Source organism: Homo sapiens, chromosome 12 (assembly GCF_000001405.40).
Source record: "Homo sapiens chromosome 12, GRCh38.p14 Primary Assembly".
NCBI lineage: Eukaryota > Metazoa > Chordata > Mammalia > Primates > Hominidae > Homo > Homo sapiens.
This window is the reverse complement of record NC_000012.12, coordinates 107,700,880-107,723,789: the sequence shown is the minus strand read 5'-3', so window position 1 is coordinate 107,723,789 and position 22,910 is coordinate 107,700,880. Positions and strand designations below refer to the sequence as shown.

General features: G+C 39.4%; 1 protein-coding gene, 1 long non-coding RNA gene and 1 pseudogene across 4 annotated transcripts in view; 1 reads left to right on the top strand and 2 right to left on the bottom strand.

Annotated features, from left to right (window-relative positions):
* Positions 3,627-4,211, bottom strand: RPL17P38 (ribosomal protein L17 pseudogene 38; annotated as a pseudogene).
* LOC124903010 (uncharacterized) lies at positions 8,388-11,408 on the top strand. Its single transcript, XR_007063446.1, has 2 exons — positions 8,388-8,495; positions 11,360-11,408. It is a non-coding gene; the product is annotated as an uncharacterized LOC124903010 (long non-coding RNA).
* Positions 10,628-22,910, bottom strand: part of PWP1 (PWP1 homolog, endonuclein) — a 27,364-nt gene continuing 15,081 nt past the window's right edge. For all 3 annotated transcript variants that reach the window (NM_001317963.2, NM_007062.3, NM_001317962.2), the window contains exons 9-15: positions 20,759-20,855; positions 20,044-20,105; positions 19,043-19,154; positions 14,774-14,864; positions 14,558-14,679; positions 13,280-13,385; positions 10,628-11,679 (exon numbers count right to left, since the gene is read on the bottom strand). In NM_001317963.2, the coding sequence (NP_001304892.1) occupies positions 11,570-11,679; positions 13,280-13,385; positions 14,558-14,679; positions 14,774-14,864; positions 19,043-19,154; positions 20,044-20,105; positions 20,759-20,855 (700 nt within the window). In that variant the 3' untranslated portion in view covers positions 10,628-11,569. The remainder of the gene's footprint in view (positions 11,680-13,279; positions 13,386-14,557; positions 14,680-14,773; positions 14,865-19,042; positions 19,155-20,043; positions 20,106-20,758; positions 20,856-22,910) is intronic.

Genomic DNA, 22,910 nt, shown 5'->3' with positions numbered 1-22,910 from the left:
TTTGGTGAATCTGACAATTATGTGTCTTGGAGTTGCTCTTCTCGCGGAGTATCTTTGTGGCATTCTCGGTATTTCCTGAATTTGAATGTTGGCCTGCCTTGCTAGGTTGGGGAAGTTCTCCTCGATAATATCCTGCAGAGTGTTTTCCAACTTGGTTCCATTCTCCCTGTCACTCTCAGGTACACCAGTCAGACGTAGATTTGGTCTTTTCACATAGTCCCATATTTCTTGGAGGCTTTGTTTGTTTCTTTTTACTCTCTTTTCTCTAAACTTCTCTTCTTGCTTCATTTCATTCATTTGATCTTCAATCACTGATACTGTTTCTTCCAGTTAATCAAATTGGCTACTGAAGCTTGTGCATTCGTCACATACTTCTTGTGCCATGGTTTTCAGCTCCATCAGGTCATTTAAGGACTTCTCTACACTGGTTATTCTAGTTAGCCATTCGTCTAATCTTTTTTTAAAGGTTTTTAGCTTCCTTGCGATGGGTTCGAACTTCCTTCTTTAGCTCGGAGAAGTTTGATTGTCTGAAGCCTTCTCTCAACTCGTCAAAGTCATTCTCTGTCCAGCTTTGTTCTGTTGCTGGCGAGGAGCTGCGTTCCTTTGGAGCGGGAGAGGCATTCTGACTTTTGTTTTTTCCCCATCTTGGTGGTTTTATCTACCTTTGGTCTTTGATCATGGTGACATACAGATGGGGTTTTGGTGTGGATGTCCTTTCTGTTTGTTAGTTTTCCTTCTAACAGTCAGGACCCTCAGCTGCAGGTCTGTTGGAGATTGCTGGAGGTCCACTCCAGACCCTGTTTGCCTGGGTATCAGCAGCAGAGGCTGCAGAACAGCGAATATTGCTGAACAGCAAATGTTGCTGCCTGATCGTTCTTCTGGAAGTTTCGTCTCAGAGGGGTACCTGGCCATGTGAGGTGTCAGTCTGCTTTTACTGGGGGATGCCTCCCAGTTAGGCTACTCGGGGGTCAGGGACCCACTTGAGGAGGCAGTCTGTCCGTTCTCAGATCTCACTCCTTGCTGGGAGAACCACCACTCTCTTCAAAGCTCAGTTGGAAATGCAGAAATCACCCGTTTTCTGTGTTGCTCATGCTGGGAGCTGTAGACTGGAGCTGTTCCTATTCGGCCATCTTGGAACCCCCCTACTCAGGAAATGACATTTAAACTGAACTTTAAAGGATGAATACAAGTTAGCCAGAGAAAAAGGAGTAAAGTTTTCCATATAAAAGGAAAAGCATGATAATTTGAATGTTAAAAGTTTATCAGAAATGTCACAGCCTGGCAACAGAGCGAGACTCCGTCTCAAAAAAATAAAAAGGCAAATTAAAACAAATAAATTTTTAAAAAACCAGTGAACTGGCTGGATGCGGCTGCTCATGCCTATAATCCCAGCATTTTGGGAGGCCAAGGTGGGTGGATCACGAGGTCAAGAGATCAAGACCATCCTGGCCAACATGGTGAAACCCTGTCTCTACTAAAAATACAAAAATTAGCTGGGCATGGTGGTGTACATCTGTAGTCCCAGCTACTCAGGCCGCCGAGGCAGGAGAATTGCTTGAACCCGGGAGGCAGAAGTTGCAGTGAGCCGAGATCGCGCCACTGCACTCCAGCCTGGCAATAGAACGAGATTCCATCTCAAAAAAAGACAAACAAAAATACACAAAAAACCAAAACCACCAGTGAACAATCCACAAAGTGGTAAACTATTAGACATATATAGTTCCATTAAAGGGACATGACAATGTTGTCCTCTCCACAACTGTATTCCACATTGTACCAAAGATCCTAGTCAAGGAAATAAGACAGATAAACTTTCCCTTTTTGAAGACAATTATCAAGAAAATTAACTGAAAAACTGTAAGAACTGAGAGTTTAACAAGGTGCCCAGTACAAAGAGAGCATACACATTTTCATAGCTCTTCTGTATATTAGGCATAACAAACTGCAAAATATGAGAAAAGTGTCCTATCCACCTTAGTATTAAAATCATATAAACCTAGGAATAAATCCAACAACTAGCAAAGTCTATATGAAAAGAGAATAAACTTCATTTGAAAGATAGAATGGGTGCTGTGGTTCATACCTGTAATCCCAACACTTTGGGAAACTGAGGCAGGAGAATTGCTTGAGGAATTCGAGACCAGTCTGGTTAACATAGTAAGACCTTGTTTCAACAAAAACTTTAAACATTAGCTGGGTGTGGTGGTGCGCACCTGTAGTCCTAGCTACTCCAGAGGCTGAGGTGAAGGATTGCATGAGCCAGGAATTTAAGGCTGCATTGAGCTATGATTGCACCACTGTACTTCAGCCTGGGCTCCAGAGTTGAGATCCTGTCTCTTTGGGAGGCGGAGGCTGGCAGATTGCCTGAGGTCAGGAGTTTGAGACCACTCTGGCCAACATGGTGAAACCCCTTCTCTACTAAAAATACAAAAAAATTAGCTGTGCGTGGTGTCATGTGCCTGTAATCCTAGCTACTCGGGAGGCTGAGGCAGGGGAATTGCTTGAACCAAGGAGGTGTGGAGGTCTCAGTGAGCCAAGATCACTCCACTGCACTCCATCCTGGGTGACAGAGCGAGACTCCATCTCCAAAAAAAAAAAAAAAAAAAAAAAAAAAAGATGTAAAAGAACATTAAGTGGAAAGGTGACCCATGAACCTAAATGGAAAGATTCCATAGTATACAATTATTAAATTATTCTTTTATAACTATAAATTCAATAACATGCCATTCAATATCTTAAAAGGATTTTTATGGAGCTTGACAACTTCAAATTCATTTGAAAAAGAAAGCATAAGAGAATAGCCAGGAATTTTTTGGGGAATGATGAACTATGAGGGGAACTTGTCCTGTTGGGAACCAAAATATTAAGGCTATAGTAATTAAAATAATTGTTAGAAATACCGAATGCATGCGGGGCTTAAAACCTAGATGACGGGTTAATTGGTGCAGCAAACCACCATGGCACATGTTTACCTATGTAACAAACCTGCACATTCGGCACATGTATCCCAGAACTTAAAGTAAAATAAAAAATAATAATTGTTATTGGCATAGGAAATAACTCACTAGTACAGAATGGAAAGTCCAGAATAAGGTATATAGATATAAATATATTGTATATAATATAAAGTTGGCATTTCAACCAGTAGAGAAAGAATGGACTATTCAATTAACAGTATTGGAACAATTTGCTATCCGTTTGGTAAAACATTATATTTTTACCTCAGACTACACACAAGTAAATTCCAGATGAATTTAAAGAGATAAATGTAAAAAATTCACCAATTATTTTTTAAATGCTGGGGTGGGGAAGGCTTTCCTAAACAAGACCTAAATTTATGACCAAAATTAAGACCCCAGTGATATACTGGAGAAAAACATGACTAACAAGCAGAATAGAAAAAAACACCTACAGATTAATTTTTAAAAGCACAAAACAGCAAAAGATATAAACAGGCAAGCCATCAAAGAAAAAAGAAATACAATAGACAATAGAACATGAAAACATACTCCACCTCATGAGTAATAAGAAAGTGCAATTGTATTGTTTTTGGCCATAAAGCCGCAAAGATTTAGAAGTCCTAACCTAGGTTTAAGGGAAAGGAAACGCTTTAAAAAAAAAAAAAGTTTTAATTACTTTCTTTTTCGCTAAATTTATTCCCATGCCATAAGTTTTTGTTTCTTCACTTTCTTCTGGGATATCTTTTGCTTCCAGGAAGCCTCCTTTTCTGGTTTTGGATTTGTTCCTTTTCAGTGAGAATCATCTCAAAGAGCTCATGTATGGCTTAATCTGACCATGAGCTCTAGTAAGTCCTGTGGTGCATCTTAGGTGCTTTGTTCACTTGGATATACTCAGTGACCAGAGAATCTACATCTAAGCTGTTAAGCTCAGCATTCCTCTCTGTATTTTTAAGCATGTGCAGCAAAAGTTCAGCACTGTTTTGGGGGCCACCAACCCTGTGTCCAGCCCCACTACTTGGCAGGGGCACACCTACCAAGTCCACCACTGTAACCTCGGAATGGAACACACTGCTTCTGTAAAGTGACATCTTTAGGGTTGGTGGCTTTTCATATATGCATACCCTTGATGGCCTGGCCAGTTTCACGAGTGTTCTTAGTGAACATGAAGATTTGAACCTCTTGATTTGCATGATTTTGTGGGGTTTCCTGGGTCAAGTGACTAGAGAACCATTTTCACAGATCACCCCAGGCCGCTTAGGGGAAGAGAGGAAATTTTTTAGTTGGAAGTATTAATTGGCAAAAACTATTTTCAAAGGTAATTCGGCAATGTCCAAACAAATTTAGGAATTATATACCCTTTGATTCAGTAATTTCACTTTTAGAAATCTTATGGAAATGCTCATACATATGTAAAAAAAATTATGTACAGGATCCTAGTCCTTTCTTATGGATGTGTGGTGAGGATAGAAAAATACACCAGTATTTTTAAGTGAAGATGGAAAAAATCTAAGTGTTTTCCAGAAAGGAAATGTTGGAGAAATCATGGCACACCCATACTAAGCAATACAATGCTGTCATTAAAAAGGATGAGGTTAAACCATATGTACTAACACAGGAATATCTCCAAGACATATTGTTAAAAAGCCTGTTGTCTGATCATTTATTATCTATCCCTAGCTATATATTAACGTGAATTATACAAGGGGCATGCTGTAGATGTCAATCCCCTTTATCATGCTTTCCTTACTGTAGATTCTGGAAAGCCAAAAACTGTTTTCCAGATCCCTTCAGAGCTGAGATTCCAAGCAAAACTAAAATTCCTCTAATTAGATGCACTCATGTGAGACTTAGATTCAGAACTGAATTACGCAGGGAGAGAAGCAGGGCCTGAGGTATCTACTGTGCAGGCTTGGATATTACCAGTGTGGTGTGGTTTTAGAGCTGGTGGTGATGGTGGATGGAGGCTTTCTGATGTGGTAGGTGACTTGTTGACCATAGAAGCAGCAGATGCACCTTGTGAGTTCATGTCTGTGGTATGGGATTAGGAGTCATTCCTAGAACTCAGCTTAGACTCCATTTTGTCAGCCTTTTCAGTGAGTGATTCCATGAGTGATCTATATTGCTCAAAAAATTCTTTTTGCTTAAACTAGCTAGAGGAGTTGTCTGAAAATAGTACAGACAACAGATCCTTAAGGAAATGACATCTTGAACTACTTATCTGACCTGGCTGGTTTCAAGGCAGTGAGGATCTAGTTACTGTTAGAGGAGGGGAGACAGAATTGTACCTGGCATGCATGGCTGGGACATGGGTTAGATTATCACCCATGATCACCTGCAATTAAATGTTATCCATATCAATAAACACAGTTTAAACTGTGTTTCTCCTTCCCTGGTCTAGAATCCTCAGAATCTTGCTGACACATATTCCTTAAGATTTTGCCAATACATTAGGAAATTCTTACAATTCTGTTAATATGTAAACTTTCTTTTCCAAGGTTTGACTTTGGAATTATAGAGAATTTGGTGTTTCACCTTGTCATAGGTCAGAAGAAATAAGAGGTGGTAGGAGTGGTAAATGAAGAGAATGGGGACTATTTTAGAAGATAACTACCTGAGGTGTGGTCATTACAAGATATTCAAGAAAATCAGAACCATTCTCATTAGATAGGGGAGGAGCTACTTCTGTTGGCAGATCTTTGGGTTTTGGGTACTTGGTCATTGTAATGTTCTCAGATATCACCATTCTACTTTTTGGGTTTGCATTCTTTCTTCCAAAATAATCTAATTGTTATTTAAGAAACCTGCTGAAGCAGTGAATTCAACTTATCTTGTGTATCAGTAACCTGCAGGATCAGACTCTTTTCTGGTTTTTCACTGTGTAACTCTATGACTACAGAGAGAAGAAATTATTTCAGGGCAGTCATGGAGCCAAACTCTGTTTCTTTGACCTAGCTAAACATGTCTGTTGTAAATGAATAAGAAGCATGCTTCAATATTCAAATTTTCTATTTCTTCTATTATCAGTTTTCATAAGTTATGTTTTTCTAGGAATTTGTCTATTTAATATACATTTTCAAATTTAATCACAAAAAATTTTTCATATCTTCTTACCGTTTAGTGTCTATAGGGTTTGTAGTGATGTCCTCCTTTTCAAGTCTGATGTTAATAATTTGTATTATGTTCACTATTGCTATTGGTTTATCAACTTTTAGTATTGTAAATAATCCATTTTTTCTTTGATGATTTTCTATATTGTATTTGTTGTATATGACATTAATTTCTACTCTGTTATTTCCTTCTGTCCACATTTTGGGGTTTAAATTGCTGGTCTTTTTCTAACTTTTCTTTTTGGGGGGGCGGGGACAGGGTCTCACTTTGTTACCCAGGCTGGAGTGCATGGCATGATCTTGGCTCACTGCAACCTCTGCCTCCTGGGTTAAAGCAGTTCTCCTGCCTCAGCCTCCCGAGTAGCTGGGATTACAGGCACATGCTACCACACCCAGCTCATTTTTGTATTTTTGGTAGAGATGGGGTTTCACCATGTTGGCCAGGCTGGTCTCGAACTCCTGACCTCAGGTGATTGACTCACCTTGGCCTCCCAAAGTGCTGGGATTACAAGCATCAGCCATTGTGCCTGGCCTCCTTGCTTCTTTTGAATTAATCAAGTATTATTCACTTTCTCCCCTTTTGGCTTTTTTCATACACAATCTCTAGCATTCCAGCAAAAATTTCTAAGCATACTAAGAAATAGCACCATGAGAAAGATAGACCTGTAATAAATTCACACATTGGACTTATGTCTCTTTTAGTAGTTCACCTAGAGATTACAACATGCATCCTTGATTTATTAGAGTGTAATAGTGATACTTTTATGCCTTCCAAAACAATGCTGAGATCTTAGAATACCTTAACTCTATTTGTCTCCTTCTAGCCTTTTGTCAGGCATTTTAATCTTCCAGACATTTTAAGCCCTATACAACATTATTATTACTGTTTTCTGTGGTAATATTCACTTAAATTTACCCATGTTGACCATTATTCCTTCTTGCATGTCTGTATTCCTATCTGGGATCGTTTTCATTCTGCCTAAGTTTAGCGTAACTTTATTATTATTATTATTGTTGTTTGAGACAGGGTCTTACTTTGTTGCCCAGGCTGGAGTGCAATGGTGTGATCTTGGCTCACTGCAACCTCCACTTCCCATGCTCAAGCAGTCCTCCCACCTCAGCTTCTGAAGTAGCTGGGACTACAGGTGAGCGCCACCACAACCAGGTAATTTTTGTATTTTTTATAGAGATTTTTTATAGAAATGGGGTTTTGCCCAGGCTGGTCTTGAACTCCCAGGCTCAAACAATCTGCTTACTTTGGCCCCCCAAAATTCTGGAATTAAAGGTGTGAGCCATCATGCTCAGCCAGTGTCTTCATCTTTTTAAAGAAAGTATTTTACTTACCATAAAATTCACCCATTTTAAGTGTACAATCCATTGGTTTTTAGGATATTCAAAATAGTGCAACCATCACCACAATCCTACTTTAAATCACTTCCACCACCCAAAAAGATCCTTTTTGCTCATTTGCAGTCACACTCTATTCTCATTCCCAATCCCAGGAAATGATTAAGGTACTGTATGTATGGATTTGCCTTTTCCTCTGAAAACCTCATATAAATGGAATTATATATGGCCTCATGTCCAACTTCTCTCATTTAGCATGTCTTAAAGGTTCATCTGTGTTGCCATATGTATTAGTTCATTCCCTTTTATCACAGAACAGAAATCCATTTTATGGTTATCCCACATTTTGTTTATTCATTCACCCACTGATGAATATTTGGATTGTTTCCACTTTGGGGCTGTTAAGAATGACACTGCTGCTGAACATCTGCATATAAGTCTCTGTAAGGACATGTTTTGTTTCTCCTGGATATATACCAAGGAGTAGTTTCAGGTTCATACACTTGTGTTTAACTTTGGCCATAATCTTTTTGGCTATTGCTCTCCCTCATCCTAGTCTGATTCCAATTACACATATGTTAGACTTTTGTACCATGCCTGATGCATCTTATACATTTTTATATATATGTTTAACTCTTTGTATTTTAGTGTGGATATTTCCCATTGACCTACCCTCACATTCACTAATCCTTCTTCAACTCTAATGTGTTAGTCTCATATATAAAATTCTCTTAAGTTCTAGAGTTCTCATTTAATTCTTTATAGATTCCAATTCCTTGATGATATATTCAATCTTGTTTTTTCTTACATTTACCAATCCTGCCTATTTCAAAGTTCATGTCCAACATAAGTCCAATGTGTGAATTTATTACAGGTCTATCTTTCTCATGGTGCTATTTCTTAGTATGCTTAGAAATCTTTGCTGGAATGCTAGAGATTGTGTATGAAAAACTATAGAAGCTGTGGATGAAATTATCCTCTTCCAGGGAGGATTCACCCTGTCCTCTGTCAAAGTAGAGCAGGGACACCTCAATCCAGTCAAAAACTGAGCTTACTCAAGGCTGGGCTTCAGATTCCTAAGGTTAGCTCTACTGGTTTATCTCAACTTTTGGGGTATAGCCTTTGAGGGGTCACAGTGGCAGAGCTTGGAGTGTTTTTAGAGACCTTCCTTTTTGAAATCAAGTTCAATTTTTGTTTTTGCTCTGCTGCTTTTCTCAGTTTTCTTACCTTGTACAACAAAAAATTGGTAAATGCCTAAGAAAATCAGCATCATCACATGGGGTTAATTCTCTGCACATCCCTTCTCCCAGGATCTTTGCCCTCAAGTCCTGGCTGCCTTAGAAGCACTTCAGTGCCTTCAAATAGATGTTGCATGCCTCCTGTTCAGCTTTTGCTTAAGCTATACTGTCACATCTAGAAATGGAAGTATGAAACAAGTTGTTTTTGAAACAAAATCTGGCTATTTGTTCTGACAGGATGTTTTAAAAGTACTTACTTTGAAAAGACCTCCCTTGGCTGGGCACGGTGGCTCATGCCTGTAATCCCAGCACTCTGGGAGGCGAGGCAGGCGATCACCTGAGGTCAGGAGTTTGAGACCAGCCTGGCCAACATGGTGAAGCCCCATCTCCACTAAAAATACAAAAATTAGCTGGGCATGGTGGCACATGCCTGTAATCCCAGCTACTCAGGAGGCTGAGACAGGAGAATCATTCGAACCCGGGAGGCGGAGGTTGCAGTGAGCCGAGACCATGCCATTGCACTCCAGCCTGGGCAACTCAACACTCAGTCTAAAAAAACAAAAACAAAAAACAAACAAAAACCTCCTCCACCTAAAAGAGTATGTAAGAGTATAGCATACATTTCATATACCACCTTTACTGAAAAGAGCTTCATAAGATGTAGTTTGGGTTGTCCTGAAAAATTGAGGCCTTTAAGTTCTACCTGTATAATGCTCATAGAATATAGTATCATAGAAGTTGATATTTCTACTTTATAAACAGTGGGTTTTGCAGAATCTGAATTCCCAGATATAATTAGCTGGCACCTGCCTACATCTGGGTAATTATTTTTTGAGACGGAGTTTCACTCCTGTTGCCCAGGCTGGAGTGCAATGGCATGGTCTTGGCTCACTGCAATCTCCGCCTCCCAGGTTCAACTGATCCTCCTGCGTCAGTCTCCCAAGTAGCTGGGATTAACAGGCACCCACCACCATGCCCAGCTAATTTTTGTATTTTTAGTTGAGGCGGGGTTTTACCATGTTGGCCAGGCTGGTCTTGGACTCCTGACCTCGGGTGACCTGCCCACCTTGGCCTCCCAAAGTGCTGGGATTACAGGCTTGAGCCACCGTGCCCAGCCATCTGGGTAAAATTGTTTAAAAGTTAGTATCGGGTTTTCACTTTGACAAATATGTTTGGCTCCATGGCATTTCCATGTGCTATGTAATGAAAACACCAGTCACCAACAAACTACCAGTGGTGAAAATGTTACCTGTCATTCCCCCACTTTCTATGGTAGACAGGCATTCTAAGCCACACATCTTTGGGCTCAGATCTACCCACACTTAGGTGCAAAATGTACCCACGGTGGGAAGTGATGTGGAACCCTTTCCTCAGTCAGTATGACACAATCGAGCCTCCTTTTACATTTATAATCTGGGCTTGGATTTTAATCCCCATCTTACCTAGTTCCCACAGCTTGACTACCCCTATTGCCTGTCTACTCAGATGTCTTACCCACTGCCTGCACTGTCTTTTAGCAGTAACTGCAGGTCCCGGCCAGCACTCTTCTGGTCCCAGGTGCTCAGATCTGCTCTAACCAGCTACTTCAGAGGCACATTCTTTTGGCTCAGAAAACACCCCATGCTTAGCATTCATCGCACTAGCACTTTCAAGTTGGAAACAGAGGTGTCAACCCATTTACCATTTGAAAATTTTGGTATTTATTAAATACAAATTCTTATTTTAGGCAGACCTATATGACTACATAAAGCAGTAGAAGTTATTTTTTATACGTAACTAGGTCTTTTCCTGAGAATGGAAAGTCCTGGGAAGATGCCTATTTTAGAGTTATTCTTTATAGAAGAAAACATCAAATTTCAGAGAGAATTAACTGACTTTAAATCTATTAGAGGTCTCCCTCTGTTACTAATTTTTAGTGATCTGGGCCTTATTTTAATACCTAAAAGCCAAATCAAAACAAAGAAACAGAATACTCTATCCTTTAATCTCTTTAATTCACACATCTGTCTTTTGTATAAAAAGGTGTTTTGGTGAACCCACGTTGCTACACCAATGACATTCCACAGTATTAACACTAGAATGACTGAAGTCACATTCATGAAATATACAGGAAATATCAATGGTTCATGAACTGATTACTCTTCTGGCAAGTTAGGGTTGGGTCTCATATTATCAAACTAATTACGATTTTTAATGCCTACTAAAACTCATACTTAATAGGAAGACAATCTATAATTAAAACTGTCCCTTGTTAGGTGGAGAGCAAAGACTTATTCACACTGAATCTCCCATGCCTTGTATAGCACTAGGCACAGAATGGCATTCAGTGTTTTGAGAATGAATGAATGGTCTGCCTCTTGTCTTTGATAACAGTGAATATCATGCTAGGAAAACAGGGGCATGTAACTTTTACTTATCAAACTCTACGAGTTGCACTGAGAATACTCAATCATGAGCATTAATTTGAGAACAGTTAGGAATGAAAGTGGAGTCTCTGGGGCACTTGCCTCTGTTCATGGCCTCCTGTGCAATTTTAGCCAAATAACAGCCTTTCCAGGCCTAGGTTTACCTATCTTTTAATATTACCGGATTTTACGCTTTAAAAATTCTATAAATTACTACCTATTTACAAATCTAGATTAACTGTGACAGATGGTATGTTTAAGGAATTACTTTTTAAAAATCCTTTTTATTACTCTTTTTTAAGAAATGCAACAAGAGCCTTACAAACCATCCATCTGAAGAGCAAGCACAAAGACCGGATATTTGTGGTGCCACCGCAGTTGCAGAAAGGAATGTCAGTCAGAAATGAATTGTGTTTCAGTCACTCTGCATGGTTGCTGCCACGCATGGAACATTTTTAGGCCAACTTTTTAAAATTCCCAGTTAAGGTAAGCAGGAAATTAGATGATCTTCATTAAGACTCCATGGGTGTATCTGAGCTCCTGCTGCCAAAAGGGCCACTAATAGATGAATTTCTTGCACTCCCAAGAACAAGCCTCTCTCGTCTTCCAAATGCTTCATTTACTAAAATACAAATAAACAGGTAAGAAACTAACAGATCAGGAAATTAAGTCAGAATATAAAAAGACACTAAAATGCAGAATTGTGCACTTAGTACTTTATAAATGGTAAAGTGAGTAACCAACTCAGAAGTCCAAGTTAATGTTCTGAATGAAGTGAATTATTTTTTTAAATGGTCCAATTTATTTTTGTACTTTACTTTCTTTGCCATGTCTTGGATTTATCTGATCCGCCTTGGTAACAAATGTCCCATTCCTTATAAGTGACCCTCTCCTGGCCTTATTCTACTTCTGATTGCTTCCTATTTTTTTCTTTCACTTTTCTCTGATCATAACCGGCACAGAACTTTTCGGACTTAGGACTCACACACATCAGAATAACCCAGAGAAAAATCTCAGGATCCTTGTTTTGCATGGGAGGGAGGATGCAGGAATCATACAGTGGGGAGATATATATATTATCTCTGTGTTTGTAGAACGCACCAGACTACCTCAAAGTAATAAATAAGCAGCCAGGATCCCCTGAAGGGAGAGGAGTGGCCCCTTCCGGAAAGTTGGATTTTGTAGAATTTTATAGTTGAGCAAACGGTGGATTTATTCACACTGGTAACTGTGGGGGAGAGGGCTGTTTGTTGAGACCATGCTATATTTCTTTCCAGCTTTCCCCAAAGATCTTTCAATTTTAAGATATGTATTTGTTAAATTGCTGGGAACAAGCCCCCCAAAATCTGGCCATAAACAAAATCTCTTCAGCACCGTAACATGTTCATAATGGCCCTAACGCCCAAGCTGGAAGGTTGTGGGTTTACGAATGAGGGCAAGGAACGCCTGGCCTGCCCAAGGTGGAAAACTGCTTAAAGGCATTCTTAAGCCACAAACAATAGCATGAGCGATCTCGATCTGTGTCTTAAGGGCATGTTCCTGCTGCAGTTAACTAGCCTAACCCATTCCTTTAATCCGGCCTATCCCTCGTTTCCCATAAGGGATACTTTTAGTTAATTTAATACCTATAGAAACAATGCTAAAGACTAGTTTGGTGTTAATAAATATGTGGGTAAATCTCTGTTCGGGGCTGTCTGCTCTGAAGGCTGTGAGACCCCTGATTTCCCACTTCACATCTCTATATTTCTGTGTGTGTGTCTTTAATTCCTCTAGCGCCACTGGGTTAGGGTCTCCCCAACCGAGCTGGTCTCGGCCTTAAATGATCTACACTTAAAAGTGTGAAGACAAACTTATTTGTGAACATGAACAAACATTACCAATTACATCTGATCTTGTCTCTTTCCTAAAAAGACTACACTACTTTTGCTATCTTCCTGATGTAGTCAGGACACACATTCTGCACTTGGTCTTAGCCAAAATGCTGAGAAACAATTCAAGTCACACATTCTGTGTCAGTCCTTACAGAACTCATTCAGAAAGAGGAGAGGCCAGCATGATGGCTCACACCTGTAATCCCAGCTATACAGAAGGCTGAGGACCAAGGATTGCTTGAGGCCAGGAGTTTGAGACCAGCCTGGGCAACATGGTGAGACCCTGTCTTTTTTTTTTTTTTTTTTTTTACAGGGGCAGGGGGAGGTGTGCAGAGAACTAAAAATCCTTACCTGAAGAGACTGTGCTTATATCCCAGACCCGAAGCCCTTCTTTTTGACCTCCAAAGGCATAAATAAATGGCAAATCAGGGCAACATGAAGAACAGAAGAGAACTCCCTAGAGAGAGAACAGGAAGATGGTGATTTCAATCTCTTCAGAAAGCGCTAATATCTAGATCCTCACTGTTGTCTCTAAGAATCTATGATTTAAATGGTTATTCAAAACCAACTTATGATTCTCACTTTCAAGCCTACTGCAAAGGTAGCTCAGAGTCAAGTCAGAAGGGCTAGTACTACAATATGAAGCCAGACAAGCGCAGCATGCTGGTTCTTCCACAATGATATCTGCAACTTCTGACCACTCAGGCCACTCATCTTCGTTATCACTCTGTCTCTTAGGGATTTCCTAACAAACCTAATGTGCCATGTATTTCCAGAAACTTTAGCTGTCCTTTTAAACAATAACAATGATGCCAGTTTAAATCATTTTTAAACTTTGTTTTCTTTTTTACATTTTTATTAATAGGTAATATATATTTGTTATAGAAAATATGAACAAGAAAAATATATGAAAATCTCTCAGGGAGGTAACCACGGTTTATGTTCTGGGATATAATCTACTAGAGTTAAATGTAAGCATTTAGGCAATTATGCACTTAAAAATAAGCATGAGATGGTACTACAAAAATTGCTTCTGTAACCTGTTTTTCCATTATATTTATATATATTTATTCATACACAATTTTCAACAGCTGTGCAGTGTTACTGTGTCTGCAGTCTAACTTATATAACTCAGTGGTTGGCATACAGTAGGTGCTCAGTAAATATTTCTTGAGTGAATCTGGTTATTTCTAAATTTTTCCTACTATATAGTAATTTGTTTCAGTGTAGTCAGAACTAGTTATGCAAAGAGATAAAGATACATAAACTGACCCTAATAGCTACGGTGCCCTGAGGTTCAAGATTTCTTGGGATGGTCTTGATTTCAGGGTTTTAAAAAAAAAAAAAAAAAGCAGCCATTTCACTTGTGTCCTAGAAAACCCTCTCCCCAGCCTTACCAAGCAACTGTTAATCATGTGAGTTGGAAAAGAACCAGTCACTGAATTCCCCACAAAGCGTTCTAAGTCATAAAATCCCACCAAATTTGACTAAACTCAAAATTCACTTCCCCAACACATCCATATTTGTTAATGCAATAGTTCCAACAGAAAAACACGCAACACAAGTTCCAGAAAAAGACAAGGTCAGAAACAGAATAAATAAAAAACAGATACCCAGGGAGATTCTTACCATTTTCATGTCCCTAGAATGAACTAGACTTGGCCTATCTCCTAAGATGTCCCAGATCTTCACGTATTTGTCAGCTGAAGCAGTCACGAGACAGCCCTTGATTTGACTGCTAAGATCAAGACCTAAAGGAAGATAAGTTTAGACACTTTCGCTTTGAAATACAGATTTACTTCATCATAAGTTAAGAAAAATGAAAGAAGCATTACTCTTGCTCACCAGAGATTTCATCATTGTGTGCATTAAGTGTAAAAATTGGCTTATCTGAACGTGCATCCAAATTATATACAAAGCCGTCATCTGTACTGGCCTAGAAAGAGTAAAAGATGGGCAAGGTCATGCTACGTCACAAAATCTAACAATGGGTAAAAAGTCTAAGTCATAGTGAAAATCAGCTATATGACTTACTGGTGGAACTTATGAAAAATTAACATGGACAGAAATCATTTACTTTTGGACGACCTGAGTTTGCACTCACATGGGCTAATTCAGTTGACATGTCTACTGGATATGAGTATGAAGCTGTGGTGAATGGTCTGGAATGGGGCTAGAGCAGTAGAAGAAAAGAGGCCATAGTTACATCCACGTGAACACAGGCCTGGTGAGCATGGCTACTCAAGTTGCAGGCTGAGGAAGCATCCACAGAAGTGAGTCAGAGAGGGAAGAAGGGATAGGGAAGAGTGTCAAGGAACCAAGGCGTGACCAACAGTCAAATCGACCAGTGTGGCAGAGAAATTCAATCAGATAAGGAACTTAGGAATGAAAGGCAGATTAGAGTGCATTGTTACACTGTCAAGAAAGAAAGAAGAAATGAAGGAATTAAGAGACAGATACAGAGCCAAAAATGGGAGACAGAAACCTGAGCCTGTATACAGGCCAAGGGCAACAGCCAGTACAAGAAAAAAGGATAAAGAAAGGACGGCTGAGGCAGTCTGACTGCTAGGCCAGGGAAGAGAAGGCTTGGCTCTTCTTTTGAGATGAGAGGGAAGCAGGTGAACCATTTCATCTACTTTAACCTCTCACTTCCCTAAATATTTGGGATTCTAATATATATGACCATTTGTTAGCAAATAATCTCTGGAAGTTGCGTACCTGAAGAGTGAGAGCCGAAGTACAACACAACATTCAAGTACAACTGGAATGATCATTGTAAAAATAAGTCAGGCTTCAGGCTGCCTGGCTAGAACAGCATGCACCTCTACTAATCGTGCAGAATTGAGATTAAGTATCTCAGAATCATTACTTCATGAATCTTACTAAAATTGTCCACATCTTTTGAGAAAGCTGTTTTTAAAAAACTCTTTCCCCCCTAACTCATTTTATGAGGCCAGCATCACCCTGATACCAAAGCCCGGCAGAGACACAACGAAAAAACAGAATTTTAGACCAATATCCCTGAAGAACATCGATGCAAAAATCCTCAATAAAATACTGGCAAACCGAATCCAGCAGCACATCAAAAAGCTTATCCACCATGATCAAGTGGGCTTCATCCCTGGGATGCAAGGCTGGTTCAACATACATACACACATCAATAAACGTAATCCAGCATATAAACAGAACCAAAGACAAAAACCACATGATTATCTCAATAGATGCAGAAAAGGCCTTTGACAAAATTCAACAGCCCTTCATGCTAAAACTCTCAATAAATTCGGTATTGATGAGACATATCTCAAAATAATAAGAGCTATTTATGACAAACCCACAGCCAATATCATACTGAATGGGCAAAAACTGGAAGCACTCCCTTTGAAAACTGGCACAAGACAGGGATGCCCTCTCTCACCACTCCTATTCAACACAGTGTTGGAAGTTCTGGCCAGGGCAATCAGGCAGGAGAAAGAAATAAAGGGTATTCAATTAGGAAAAGAGGAAGTCAAATTGTCCCTGTTTGCAGATGACATGATTGTATATCTAGAAAACCCCATTGTCTCAGCCCAAAATCTCCTTAAGCTGATAAGCAACTTCAGCAAAGTCTCAGGATACAAAATCAATGTGCAAAAATCACAAGCATTCTTATACACCAATAATAGACAAACAGCCAAATCATGAGTGAACTCCCATTCACAATTGCTTCAAAGAGAATAAAATACCTAGGAATCCAACTTACAAGGAATGTGAAGGACCTCTTCAAGGAGAACTACAAACCACTGCTCAACGAAATAAAAGAGGACACAAACAAATGGAAGAACATTCCATGCTCATGGATAGGAAGAATCAATATTGTGAAAATAGCCATACTGCCCAAGGTAATTTGTAGATTCAATGCCATCCCCATCAAGCTACCAATGACTTTCTTCACAGAATTGGAAACAACTACTTTAAAGTTCATATAGAACCAAAAAAGAGCCCACATTGCCAAGACAATCCTAAGCCAAAAGAACAAAGGTGGAGGCATCATGCTACCTGACTTCAAACTATACTACAAGGCTACAGTAACCAAAACAGCATGGTACTGGTACCAAAACAGAGATGTAGACCAATAGAACAGAACAGAGCCCTCAGAAATAATACCACACATCTACAATCATCTGATCTTTGACAAACCTGACAAAAACAAGAAATGGGGAAAGGATTCCCTATTTAATAAATGGTGCTGGGAAAACTGGCTAGCCATATGTAGAAAGCTGAAACTGGATCCCTTCCTCACAGCTTATACAAAAATTAATTCCAGATGGATTAAAGACTTAAATTAAATGTTAGACCTAAAACCATAAAAACCCTAGAAGAAAACCTAGGCAATACCATTCAGGACATAGGCATGGACAAGGACTTCATGTCTAAAACACCAAAAGCAATGGCAACAAAAGTCAAAATTGATAAATGGGATCTAATTAAACTAAAGAGCTTCTGCACAGCAAAAGAAACTACCATCAGAGTGAACAGGCAACCTACAGAATAGGAGAAAATTTTTGCAATCTACTCATCTGACAAAGGGCTAATATCCAGAATCTACAATGAACTCAAACAAATTTACAAGAAAAAAACAGCCCCATCAAAAAGTGGGCGAAGGATATGAATAGACACTTCTCAAAAGAAGACATTTATGCAGCCAACAGACACATGAAAAAATGCTCATCATCACTGGCCATCAGAGAAATGCAAATCAAAACCACAATGAGATACCATCTTACACCAGTTAGAATGGCGATCATTAAAAAGTCAGGAAACAACAGGTGCTGGAGAGATGTGGAGAAATAGGAACAGTTTTACACTGTTGGTGGGACTGTAAACTAGTTCAACCATTGTGGAAGACAGTATGGCAATTCCTCAAGGATCTAGAACTAAAAATACCATTTGACCCAGCCATCCCATTACTGGGTATATACCCAAAGGATTATAAATCATGCTGCTATAAAGACACATGCACACGTATGTGCATATGTGCACATACATATAGTGCATATTGTGGCACTATTCACGATAGAAAAGACTTGGAACCAACCCAGATGTCCATCAATGATAGACTGGATTAAGAAAATGTGGCACATATACACCATGGAATACTATGCAGCCATAAAAAAGAATGAGTTCATGTCCTTTGTAGGGACATGGATGAAGCTGGAAACCATCATTCTCAGAAAACTATCTATCGCAAGGACAGAAAACCAAACGTTGCATGTTCTCACTCATAGGTGGGAATTGAACAATGAGAACACTTGGACACAGGAAGGGGAACATCACACACTGGGGCCTGTCGTGGGGTGGGGGGAGGGGGAGGGATAGCATTAGGAGATATACCTAATGTAAATGACAAGTTAATGGGTGCAGCACACCAACATCGCACATGTATACATATGTAACAAACCTGGACGTTGTGCACATGTATCCTAGAACTTAAATTTAAAAAAAAAAAAAAACTCTTTCTCACCTTTGCAAAGCACTACATATTTACTTCAGGAAAACTGGGCAACAAATTTAACTAATCTTTGCTCTGGATGAAAGCTGGGCTTTTCTTTTTACATGTACTGAAATGTCAGTGGAATCTTTGGATGCTATGTGGAAAATCATTGTCCTCCTTAGATAATAAGGGTATTTAGACAGAGGTCTTATACTTTTTTTCCTATTTGGGAGATAGTGCTACAAATTAACAGGTTAGCATTCTCATCACTAGAGATCCATTTAAGCATGAGGATTTAAAGAAAAGAATATCATCTTGGACTGATTTAGCCATTAAAAAAAACAAAAAATACTAACTATGCTTAGTATTTCAAACAACACTACAATAAAATGATCAAAATCATTAAATAAAACGTGGCACACTTTGGAATGGCCGGCAACCAGCAAAATCATTTACATGTTCACTGCTTTTTAAGTAAGAGCCGTTCTCTTATTTAAAAAAAAACACCTTATGCTTTCAACCCTAAACCCAAATACTTCATACTGTTAAAACAGAAAAAGCTTTTCAGATAATTCTCTCTACTATGGAATTTAAAAAGTCATTAGCAACCTAGAAAAGCAAAACAACAACATTCGTACTCTTACCAAGAAATGACAAGGTGAAAAGTGATTCCAAGTCACTCTCTCTATCTGCCCACTGAATCGCCACATTCGATGGCTTTCATCTGGACTTCGGCAGTCATACAAAGCCACTGACCTAGACACATTCAGGCAAAGTTAGGGTTTTAAGAGTTCAATTCTCCTATATGTTTTATTTATAATGAAATAGTAATAAAATAGCACTGTGAAATCAAGATTCATTTAAAGCCTGTTTTAAGGTTCTAAATAAAGTAGAAAAAAAATGAGCTGAGTTTCAGTAATTGGTGGATTCTGATCTTAACACTTGAAGGCACTGGTGCCTCTAACGTTACAGTGGTTTTGACCTTCTCCAGGTCAAATCTTCCACTCGCAAGAAGAATCCTCTCTATGTCCAAAAGCCCAGGACAATTTCTAATTTCCCCTTCTCTGGCCGAGCTCAGAGCCAGGTTACTCATGTCTTAGGCACACTTACTCTCCATAAGCAGTTTATCATGTTAGGGGAAGCAAGGGATGCACTTTTGTAATTCTGCGTGAATCACAAGAAATGTAAACATATCATGCTTCAAGAGGATAAGAAATGAAAATAAAGACTGCAAAGTTGGTTTTGGCTTCTACTATCTGTTTCTCCTACCTGTAGACCCAATCTGTAAAAAGGAGCACTGATATGAGCTATAAACCCCGTGGTTGACCACAGTGGCCCCAGTTCTTCATGTCTCCCTATATCCATGCCCTCTGTCATGTGACATGGAAATTCTTCCCATAAAGGCAAAGTACAGCCTCTAAAAGCCAAAGAAGTTGCTAGTTCCTACAGTTATATTATTATGACAGAATCATGTTCCGTTGTAGACTGAAAGGACCAGAGTTAAAAGGAAAAATAAGTAGTGCAAATAATTTAAACATAAAGGTGGCCTCAAGGATACATTCTGCCTGGGTACCAAGTGATACTCTTAAAATGACTTCTAGAGGATAAAAACAGAGTAGCAATCATTCTTGCTGTGCTTTCTTACTTATCATATGAGCCAGAAATCAGAGTCTGTGCTTCAAATGGATGAAACTGCAGTGTTTGGACCTAAAGGGAGGAAACATAAATGCAGAGATCTCTGTTGGTTTGCTTTTCGTAAAATTACCTAACATGTGGTAAGAATCTATTTGACAGTATTTCTATAAATGCGTCCCTCTGAAATACAGTAAACAAAAGAAACATAAATGTACTGCATAATCAAAGGGCAAACCATGCTCCCACATAAAGGCTGGCACTTAAAGAAAATGTAGTTTCCCCAAACTGTTTGGCAGAATACTTAGTCCCTCAAATGTTAGAAGATACTCAGAAGAAAAAGGGAAGTAGTCAAACCCATCTGGTGAATTCCCCATGCTCCAGAAGTCCCAAAATAATCTGCATTAGATTCCTGGGGAATAACACAGTAATGGGTGTTACCATTGTGACTGACAGACCTCATCCTTTTTTAGGAGCCTCTATAAATATGTTACAGGGCACTAATGTTCCTAGTAACCGTACCTTTCTGTACCCATTTTTTCATCTCTAAGATGGGCATTATACCTACCACACAGGGCTTTGTGAAAATCCTAAGAGATAACATGTGAAAGCATGCCGCAAGCCAGATAAAATTATTTTCAAAGCCATATATAAACGTTTGGGATTATTTTTAGCCAATATTTGTGTCCGATTTTTAAGAACCGCTGTGATCAACTAAATCACCATACCTTGTCTGTGTGTACAGCGAGGCTAGCTGCTGGTTTCCCCAAGGACATATCCCACAGAATTACAGTGTTGTCAGCTGATGCACTTGCTAAAACATTTCTGAGAAAGGGAAGAATCCAATCAGGTAATCTTTTAAAAGTCAAGAGCATTAAATATGAGAAAAGGATTGCATTTACAATAGCATCAGAAAGAATAAAATACTTAGGAATAAATTTAACAAAAGAAATGTAAGACTTACATAATGAAAACTACCGAAGATTATGAAAGGAAACAAGAGTATCTAAATAAGTGGAAAGAAACCCCATGTTCATGTATTAGAAGACTTAATAGTGTTAATATGGAAATATTACATCTACAGATGGAGCTATAAACTGATCTACAGATTCAACCAATCTCTTTCAAAATCTCTGATGACTTTTTTCTTTCTTTTTACAGAAAGTGACAAGCTGATTCACAGCCAGGCACAGTGGCTCACACCTGTAATCCCAGCACTTTGGGAGGCTGAGGCACGTGGATCACTTGAGGTCAGGAGTTCAAGACCAGCCTGGCCAACATGGTGAAACCCCTTCTCTATAAATACAAAAAATTAGCTGGGCATGGTGGCGCATGCCTGTAATCCCAGTTACTCAGGAGGCTGAGGCACGAGAATAGCTTGAACCCAAAAAGCGGAGGTTGCAGAGAACCAAGATCACGTCACTGGACTCCAGCCTGAGCAACAGAGTGAGACTCTGTCTCAAAACAAAACAAAACAGGATGTACTACTATTATTAGTATTAGACTTAAAAAAAAAGTGACAAGCTGATTCTAAAAATGCAAGGAACCTAGAATAGCCAAAATAGTACTGAAAAAAAGAACAAAGTTGGCAAGTTCATATTTCCTGGCATCAAAACTTACTGAAAATCTACAGCAATCACAACAATGTGCTACTGGCATAAGGACATACAGATTAATGGACTACAACTAACAGTCCAGAAATAAACATTTATAGTCACTGGTTTTTGACAAGGGTACTAAGGTAATTAAATGTTCAATGGGGAAAAAAGTCTTAACAAATGGGGCTGGGCGCGGTGGCTCATGCCTATAATCCCAGCACTTTGCAAGGCAGAGGCAGGCAGATCACTTGAGGTCCGGAGTTTGAGACAAGCCTGGCCTACATGGTGAAACCCTGTCTCTATTAAAAATACAAAAATTAGCCAGGCATGGTGGCATGCACCAGTAATCCCAGCTACTCAGGAGGCTGAGGCAGGAGAATCACTTGAACCCCAGAGGTGGGGGGTGCAGTGAGCTGAGATCACACCACTCACTCTAGCCTGGGTGACAGAGTAAGACCCTGTCTCACACAAAACAAAAACAAATGGTTCAGGGACAAATGAATCATCCTCATGAAAAAGAATGAAGTTGGACCCCTACCTCACACCATACACACAAAAAAAACTCAAAATGGATCATAGACTTCAATGTAAGAGCTAATACTATAAAACTCAGAAGAAAACATACATGTAAACCTTCATGACCCTGACTTAAGCGATGGTTTGCTAGATACAACATCAAAAGCATGAACAACAAAAGAAATAAAGTAGACACCATCACATGAAAAACCTGTGCTGCAAATGATAGCACCAAGAAAGTGAAAAAACAACCCACAGAATAGAAGAAAATATTTGCAAATCATGTATTTGGTAGTAGGAGTTAGTTTTAACTCCAAAAATTCAACATCAAACACAAAAAACAGGCAAAGGGAGGCCAGGCTTGGTGGCTCATGCCTGTTATCCCAGCACTTTGGGAGGCTGAGGTGGGAGGATCACCTGAGCCCCAGAAGGTCAAGACTACAGTGAGCAGTGATTGTGCCACTGCACTCCAGCCTGGGTGACAGAGTGAGACCCTGTCTCAAAAAAAAGTAAGCAAAGGACTTGAAAAACATTTCTCCCAAAGAAGATACACAAATGGCCAATAAGCACAAAACAAAGATGCTCAACATCACTAATCGTTAAGAAATGCAGATTAAGCCAGGTGTGGTGGCAAGCCCCTGTACTCCAAGTGACTTGGGAAGCTGAGGCGGGGGGATTGCTTGAGCCCAAGAATTTGAGACCAGCTTTAGCAACATAGACCCCCATCTTACCTTAAAAAAAGGGGGGGAAATGCAAATTAAAACCG